The sequence below is a fragment of the Homo sapiens genome, chromosome 2 (assembly GCF_000001405.40).
Source record: "Homo sapiens chromosome 2, GRCh38.p14 Primary Assembly".
In the NCBI taxonomy this organism is placed as follows: domain Eukaryota; kingdom Metazoa; phylum Chordata; class Mammalia; order Primates; family Hominidae; genus Homo; species Homo sapiens.
The window spans coordinates 207,393,267-207,402,583 of NC_000002.12; the positions used below are offsets into that span (position 1 = coordinate 207,393,267).

Below are 9,317 nucleotides of genomic sequence, written 5' to 3' on the forward strand. Positions count from 1 at the left end.
ACTCATATTTATTCCTCACAAAGGCCCTGTGAAGATTATCACTGTTTTTGTATGGATTGAGAAACTGATGACGCACAGAAAAAAAGTAACAACCTGCCCAAGGTCACACAGCTGACAAATGGCAGACCCAAAAAATTCAAACTCAGGACTTTTGGCTTTGAAACAAATATTTGTTTCATTGTCTAATGTTGCCTCGCAGTAGAATAAAATATATGCTCATAAAACTCCATATTTTTGCCAGTAATTTCATCAATAAGAATTCAAAAGGGCTTTGAATTTCCACCCTGGAAATAATAAGGAAAAGGAATTAAGAAGTCATTCTGAAATTCTGAGCACACACAAAACTCTAACGCCTCAAGTTCCATTAGCAGCTTTAAAACTGGCTGGTGGAGCAGACATTAGAATTGCTTTGCATTGGTTTATTTGTATTCCCCGGTAGTGTTATTAGTGGCAATAAGAATTACTTGCAAGCAAAATGTACCACTTGTAATGCAGATTCACATTTAGTCAGGAAAAGACTATTTAAAAAATTCCAAAAGACTAAGTACATTTTAAAATAATTTGCACAGAAGGATTTCTAACAGGATATAGATTGGTTGGTTAGTTGGTTGACTAGATTAAGATATACCACCAGGTTCTTCCAGGATGGTACAATGAGGATTTAATGCAGAAGAAATGGTTGATTTTACTGGTTGAATGATTGATCAGCACAACTGAACCTTAGTGATTGAAAATGTAAAGTGGCACTGGTGTTCCTATACCAACTCTTCTTCACTGATATGAACCCAGGACCAAAAGATTTTATCCGTTCATTTAATAAATATGTATTTAGTGACATATATGTGCCAGTCAGGTTTTGTGTGCTGGACATATAGACAGCAGAGAGCAAGACAGTCAGGCATGGAGTTTACATTACACAGATGGCGAGTAGGGGCAGAGTAGACAATAACCGAGTTAAAAAGCACAGATAATTCCAGATAGTTGATTCATGTTGTAAAGACAACTAAACCTGGTGATGTGTCTGTATTGCATAGTCAGGAAGGGCTCCTGAGGGGATGGCATTTGAACTGAGGCTTGAGTGTTAAAGAGAAATACCCAGGCAAAGGTCTGGGAACAATAACTTTCCAGGCAGAAGGGAGAGAACACAAAAGTCCTAAGTCAAGGATGAGTCTGAGGTTACAGAAGGAAGGAGGCCAGTGTGACTGGACCATAGCCAGGGAAAGGGGTTGCGAGGAGGTTAGAAAGGAGGGCAAGGGCAAGTCATGGGGGGGCTGGAAGACCATGTGCAGCAGGATGGCTAGCTGGCTGGCCACCAAGGATTCAGACTGCCCTCCATAGCGCTTTTCACTGCCTAGAGAGCATCTCCCTGACAGAGACTACATTTCTCACTCCCCCCACTAGCTTCTAGGGAAGTTCATGTGACTCTTAACTGAAATTAAGGCTGTTGAGACAGAAATAATTTGTGAGGGTCCCCCCGGGAAGACAGGCCAACAAAGTTGTGTGTGTGCCAGAGGCTGCTACAAGCTGGAAGGCTTTTATGGGAAAGTTTAGAAGAAGGGAGGAGGACTCCTTATACCAGAGTTGTCCTGTTCAGTGGAGGCTACAATACAGAGGTTACAATCATTGGCTGCAGGTGACATCATACAGGCTAAAATGTGCTACGTGCAAGACAATCAGTAAAACTTCATGATTCAGAAACAAATCAGCAAAACTTCGTGATTCAGAAACACATCAGCATCCTTTTCACTGTCAGTAGGATACGTATTAATCAGTGTGTTAACAGTTTGAAGAACTCACAATAAGATTCTTCACTCAGGACAGGATATACTCCATGAATCATAAGACCTCCCCCGGGGTGGGGTGGTAATTTGGAAGCCTGCCAAATGTGGCCTGTAGGTTATCATGACCAGTTCTCATCTGTGGAATGTGAGTTGCTGTAATGGGGTCATATTAATGTTACAGCAGTTAAAAAATGGGTGTGCCTTTTCCATTCTCTCTTCCTCCATCTGCCAGCTGGATGTAGAAGGCTCTGAGGCCATAGCAGACGACACGATCACAAGAAGAAAAAACCTGGGTCCCTGAATCACCATGTGGAGGAAAATTGCTCAAAACCAGGGACACGTGCACCAAACTATTACCTGAGCCAGGGATATGTTTTCATGTGTGAAGGAAGCACTGAACATTAGAGTTGTATTCACCACCACAGCCAGTATCACCTTAACTAACATGCCACAATAAGGAACTTGGATTTTATTCTAAGTGCAAGCAAATGCCACTGGAAGGTTTTAGGGAGAGGAGGAAAGTGAAGTGGTTTAGGTGTTGAAAGACCACTGTGGTTGCTATGCAGAGCCTAGGGGCAAAAGAAGCTGAGAGAACACTGAAGCGGTTTCTGCCTTAATCCATGGAAGGACTGGCAGATTGGTGAAACAGAGGAGGTGGAGAGGAATGAAGTAATCTGAGATCAACTTTGAAAGCTGAGCCAAGGATTTTCTAGCTGATTGGATGTCAAAGGTGAGGGAAAGAAAAGAGTCATAGGAGACTCCTGGTTTGTGGCTTGGTGTCATTTCATCTGGTAGGAAAGCCTGAGGAGCAGACTCAAGGGAGATATTCTGAGTTTAGTTTTGGTGGTGTTATGCTCACTGTTCATAAGAAACCTTAATCTATTATCTAGTGGTTGTGCAAATATATATATGTAAACACATACACATATATATAGCCTAAGAGAAACATCTAGTAACTTCTTTTACAACCAGTGAAGACAGAATACTACACCATGGAATACTATGCAGCCATAAAAAATGATGAGTTCATGTCCTTAGTAGGGACATGGATGAAACTGGAAATCATCATTCTCAGTAAACTATCGCAAGAACAAAAAACCAAACACCACATATTCTCACTCATAGGTGGGAACTGAACAATGAGATCACATGGACACAGGAAGGGGAATATTACACTCTGGTGACTGTTGTGGGGTGGGGGGAGGGGGGAGGGATAGCATCGGGAGATATACCTAATGCTAGATGACGAGTTAGTGGGTGCAGCGCACCAGCATGGCACATGTATACATATGTAACTAACCTGCACAATGTGCACATGTACCCTAAAACTTAAAGTATAATTAAAAAAAAAAAGAACACGCACATAATTAAAGTCACTGATCATTAGCTTTTCATTACTAAAAGTATAGCAACATTAAATAACAAAATTAAAGGCTGAATGAATTGTATGATGAATCTGTGAATGACGAAGTTCTGTGTCTAACAACACTGTTGTCAGTGCAAATATTGAATCAGATATATTTTAAAAACCAGTTACCATTCTTTAAGCTTCCTTTTCAACTCACACCGACATGAATGTATATTATCCAAATGTGGCAAACTATTCGAGGCTTGAAGGACTTTAAAGATTACCCAGTGAAATCTTCTCAATTTAAAAATTATACAACCAAGTCCCATATAAAAATGCTTTGTCTAAGGTTACAAACCTGAGCAGTTCACCTGATATGAAGCTCTGTGCGAGTTAATCCAATTCTCAGCATTAAGATATCTCAAAAACATATGAGAAATCAGAATCGCTTAAGCCAAGAATTGCACACAATATGATTCTCTTTATAGCAGGTTTTCTTCACTAAAGAATATTTCAATGTAAATATTAACTGTTCAACCAAAAGAGGTGTCAACATGAAGAATACTGAACTCAAATATTATTCAACAAGTCTACACTCTAATATTTACCTATCTAATTTTGTAATCATATGTTTTGAATTTGGTGGTAAAAGGTATGATATTAGAATAAGAAAGGAATAAACATCTGGGCTTTGGAAATGCCTTGCTTCACCTATAAGGATCACGCAGAAGAATCTGGAAAAAACATTGAAGGAATGTGTGTAGTTATACTTTATTTTTCACTAAGGGAACATGAGACATTTAGTGCCACAAATTGTTTTTGTATCATGACATGGTGTTAACTGAGACTTCATCTGACATCTCCAAGACTAAAACCAGAAGAGTTACATGTCCCATATTTCAAAGACCCTCCTTGCAGGACTAGCGAGGTAAGAAGTGGCCCGAACTGGTCTGGGAATCTTAGCCCATCATTCACAGCCTGCTGCACACAAGAGAGAAGATTCTTCAGAGAAATTCATGGGAGTGGGTTTTCCAGTCTCCATTTCCATGGAAAAGGAAAGGAGGGTGGTCTGCCTCCCCCAATTCCCCACAAACCCTCCCAGTCAAGTGGAAGGGGCTTCAACACAACCCCTTGCATTGGAGAGACCAGCATCTTAGTCCACTAGGAAATGATCTTAGGAGATGGAGCAAGAAAGAGTCCTTGAGAGAACCTGGACTGCCCTCCAAGATAATAACTGTCCCTGGAGAATAAATGAGCTGAAAAGACAATAGAGTGAGTCAACTGCACCTCTATCAGCCCAAGGCAGGATGAAGATTTTCTGGGCCATGTGATGCCACTAGGGGTACCCATTCTAGGGGCCTCTTGACAGGAATCAGGATCAGGGACCCCCCAGCAAAGGAAAGTTCAGTGGAGTATATGAATGGAGCAAAGAACTGAGAGGGTGTCACAAGAGGTCAGCCAGAGAACACACTCCCCTATGCAGGACAGAGTCCCCTGTGTCGGGGGTTCTGGTGGGGAGGGTCCCCAATTACCTACAAAATACACCAACTAAAGAAATTCGGCAATGGGGCATTTGCCACACAGGGAACTCTGACACCGTTGTATGAGTAGCAGCCAAATTAGAAACTCGGTCACCGTCTACCCCTCCTCCCTTTTTGACAGCCCAACTCTGTAAGAGTCTGAGAGCAACCTGCTGATGTGGGGCTGAGAATGAAAGAGCCAAGTGGAGAACCAAAAAAGGGAATCAGGCCATGCTTCGTTGCCTGTCTACAGCCCTGAGGAGTCACATTTCCTCTGAGAGACCCTGGGACAAAGTGGAGAAGGGGGTGTGTTGGGGAAGGAGCTTCCATTAAATGGAAGATTTAAGTTTTTACATTAGATTGGGTTGTGCTATTTTATTTTATACTTGAAAATGAGCCTGTTTGTTAACACGTTGAAATTGACTGAAAGACTGTGCGGTTTGTGCAAGTTGTCACCAAGGAGGCAAAGAAAGGAAATCTGATCAAGTATAATAATTAAGGCCAGACGTGGAAGAAGGATAAAAGTTGTTTCTTAGTTAAACTCCACCCTCAATAAACCAGTTAGAGTTGTAGTAATGAAAAGCCACCGGTGAGATGCTGAGTTAAGATAGGAATACAGTCATGTCACAGCTCATACATCCAAAATTCCTTTCCAGTCAAAATCCAGCTACAGTGTATCTGTAACTAGGTGAAATGAGTTTATAAGAGGCCTGAGAATGTTTTCTAAACAATTTACATATGAATTTAACAAATAAATTTGAGGAATTTTTTAAGGGAAAGCAAATTAATGCAAATGAAACTAAGACCAGAAAGCTGATATTACTAGGGAAGCATATTTATTAGGCATCTTCAATGTGCTAAGTGGTATTTAGAGGCATAAGAAGAATTAGAAGATATGGCTCCTATTCTTGGAACCAGCTGGATGAAATAAATCCATGCTTAGAAGAAAAAAAAAAACACTAGAGAAAAGAATAATAAAGCAAAGTACATACAATCAACTGCTATAATAAGGGTAAGAGGATATACTGCTGTACAGAAATGCACACACATGAAGGTGGAAGCATGGTGAAGAGGATTTGTATAAATGACAAAAGGGGAAATAGACCATCCAGAAAGACAGACGATATTGAAAATTCTTTCTTGATGCAGATTACAAAGTTCGGATAGAGATGATCCATGGTAGTCAATGGAGATTTCCATTATATGGGCATCTGTCGGCAGTCTCATTATAGAAGAAAAATGAGTGCCTAAGAAATCAAGTAGCTTTGCTGTGAATTTTACTGCTGGGAAGGATACCATGGGGAAATGGTTAACAGGATTTTTTTTTTCTAGCCAGAAGAGTCCGTTGATAATCTTAACCAGTCAGGAGGCTTCAGGGAAACTGATGGTGATATTTTGGACTTCTAAATATAGAATGAATTAGAAATAACCTGGACTTTAGGAAAATAAGTGTACCTAAAGCTATGTTAATGAAATAATAAAGACTGAAATGCAACCCAATTAGAGAAACTATGGAGAATTTAGTTGGCAAAAGGATTTCTTTGAATTCAAATTTGAGCAGAACAGAGACCCTTTGTTTGAAACGTCAGCAGGCCCTTTGTTCTCCCCAGTGACATATGGCTTTAAAGTCTAGCTTAGCTTTAAGTCAATCACTTAATCTGGGTTTCTCTGTGAACTACCTTTAAGACTCCAGAAAGACATTTCGAGGTGCATGGGTGAGTTGAGTGGTATAAATAGTGCCCCATTTGAGGAGAGAAGCCTTTCTGCCTTATTCCTAGATGGTTGGTCTTTGCATAATAACTCTGCTACCTACTTTTTGCCACTTGTGAATTTCCTGTTCATAGAGGACATTAGGAGAAATTGTCTCATGTTTGGGGTGTACCAAAACATTTGAACGAGAGGAAAAGAACTGTGAACATTGGGGAAGGCTGCTCAAGTTAGATTTTTGTCATAGTGCACATTAAGTTGTGCTGACCCAGATATTCCAATTTCAACTGTTTCCCACATCCACTAGAAAATCTTAGTATCAGCAAGCATGTGGCCTGGCGAGCTGGGAGTATTAACTTGTGGTCTGACCAGGATTCTTCGTCATTTTAGCACAGCCTTGGCCATGGTTAGCAAGGCGGTTCTAACCTTGTTATTCTAATTATTCTCTCACTTTGGGTGTGATTCCTGTTAGTCCTTCCACTTAAAACAGATGGAAGAGTGACCTGTACATTGGGAAAGGTCATCTGTGTCTTGATTTTTTTTATCTGGAAGTTTTCACTTATAAAGATGTTGTAATTATAATTATTATGATTATTTTGTACTTAAATTGGGCAGTGCTGAGATCTAAAACAAACTCTAGGTCTGATTATTTTCTGAAGAAAATAACATTGTACCTCATATATACCATGGAATACTATGCAGCCATAAAAAGGAATGAGATCATGTCCTCTGCAGGGACATGGTTGGAGCTGGAAGGCATTATCCTCAGCAAGCTAACTCAGGAACAGAAAACCAAACACCACATGTTCTCACTTATAAGTGAGAGCTGCACAATGAGAACACATGGACACAGGGAAGGAAATGGCACACACTGGGGCCTGTCATGGGGTGGGGTTGGGGGAGGGAGAGCATTGGGAAAAATAGCCAATATATGCCAGGCTTAATACCTAGATGATGGGTTGATAGGTGCAGCAAACCACCATTGCACACGTTTACCTATGTAACAAGCCAGCACATCCTGCACGTGTACCCCAGAACTTAAAATTAAAATTAAAATTAATTTTAAGAAAAGAAAGTTAAAAAAAAAAAAAGAAAATAACATTGTACTGAAGCAAAACTAGTTACTCTGTCCTTTTACCATAAGATGTGAGCTGTAGATTATAATGAACCACTGAACAGTTCCAACCAAAATTATAACTTTTGATTAAGTAGTATGGCTTGGCTGCTGAATCACCAGTGTGAAAACCCATCCCTGGAGAACGTGGAGCCCGAGATGACATGGGTAGCCACTGTTGGTGGAAAAAGCAGAAATTTTTGAAGAGTGACCAAAGTCAGGAACATAACAGACAAATTCTGGGGAGCAACAGGCAGTATTTATTGATTCATCCCACAAATGTGTAGGAGCACATACTATGTGCCAGGTGCTGGAAAAAGAGCAGTGACATGCTCCAGGCTCAAAGTGCACTGACCTAACTTCAGAAAGATGTCTGCATCGCCTCTATAATCTCAGAACATTAACCCATGAGTGGTCTCAGATGTTAAGAAAACTGGTAAATGTATCACTCAGGATGATTTTGGTGGTAAGTAATAGAAAACCCAACTCAAACTGGCATTAACAATAAGGTTAATTTATTGGCTGATACAACTGAAAGCCCAGAAATCATGAGACAGTTTGATGAGGGCTCTGGCTCCAATTTTTTATATTCTCTTGGATCTTCCTTTTTTAAGTGCCACCTTTAACTTTAGGCTAGCTTCCCTCTTGAGGACAAAATGGAAGCTATAGTTTAGGGTTCACATTCCCATACCAGATTATTCAGAAAAATCAAGCTTCCCAAGCAATGGCCTAAAGTCATAAGCCATTGACATTTACCTCTGCATCAATCACCATGACAGAAGGGAAGGAATTTTGCTGATTGATTTAAGCCAATGAGGGTACATACCTGAACCTGGCAGTGGGGGTAGTCCCAGTCAACCTCATGGCTGCTCTTCCAATGGAGAAATAAATGCTAAGAGAAGCATGACAGCAAACCCAAGCATTCATTCAGATATTCAGTATTAGAAACAGAAGATTTATCAAAGGCTTCCTGTTTAGGCAGAAAACTGATGAGCTGCAGAAGACATACACTCATTGCTGTTGGCAAAAATCTCAGAAAGCACAGGAAAGTCTACGAAAGGCAAAAGTTTCCATGTCTGCTTCTGATAACCTCAAAGCGTTTTCCTACAGCCCCCTTTTAATGAGTTCCTCATTCATGGGCCCAAATATTTGAACACAGTGACCTTAAAAACTTAACCACAGATGACTGGTCCAAGAAAGGGACCTGATCCAAAGGCAGCAATCTATGGACTGGCCTACAAAATGGCCTAACAAAAGAGCTTAGTGCTACCGGGATTTTCTATTCTGGATGGTGACTACCTGATTCTGTCAGATCCTATAGGGTGTTGGACTATAAGATATACAAGTCAAAAATAGTGAAGAGGTCTAACCTTCCTTGCAAGCTAACAATTTAGTTGGCCATGCTTTAATGGATGCTGGCAAAAAAAAAAAGACATCTGTGTAAGAGACAAAGGACTTATTACTCACAGCTCAGCGAGCATAAACTTCATATTTGCCTCAATTTCTCTTGTCCCCCACCCCTCTAACTTCCAAAGGTGTGACACGGAACAGCCATGCAATGTAGTAGGTGATATAGTTTGGATGTCCCCTCCAAATCTCATGTTGAGATGTAATCCCCCTTGTGGAGATGGGGCCTGATGGGAGGTATTTGGGTCATGCAGGGCAGATCCCTCATGACTTGGTGCTGTCCTCATGACAGTGAGAGAGTTCTCATGAGATCTTGCTGTTTAACAGCATGTGGCACCTCCCCTGCACTCTCTCTCTCTTGCTCCCACTCTCACCATGTGATACATGGGCTCCCCCTTTGCCTTCTGCCATGATTGTAAGCTTCTTAAGGCCTCACCAGA

General features: G+C 40.8%; 2 annotated features.

The window, feature by feature from the left end:
- Window positions 1,118-2,317: an enhancer, noted in NCBI's record as "BRD4-independent group 4 enhancer chr2:208259108-208260307 (GRCh37/hg19 assembly coordinates)". NCBI's record gives its function as "activates an origin of replication core promoter dependent on BRD2, P300/CBP, MED14 and CDK7 cofactors, and independent of BRD4, by STARR-seq in HCT116 cells {active_cell/tissue: HCT116}" and the evidence as "EXISTENCE:reporter gene assay evidence [ECO:0000049][PMID:35650434]".
- Window positions 7,964-8,534: an enhancer, noted in NCBI's record as "NANOG hESC enhancer chr2:208265954-208266524 (GRCh37/hg19 assembly coordinates)". NCBI's record gives its function as "activates a minimal SCP1, AML or CMV promoter by ChIP-STARR-seq in naive H9 embryonic stem cells {active_cell/tissue: H9 hESC(naive)}" and the evidence as "EXISTENCE:reporter gene assay evidence [ECO:0000049][PMID:30033119]".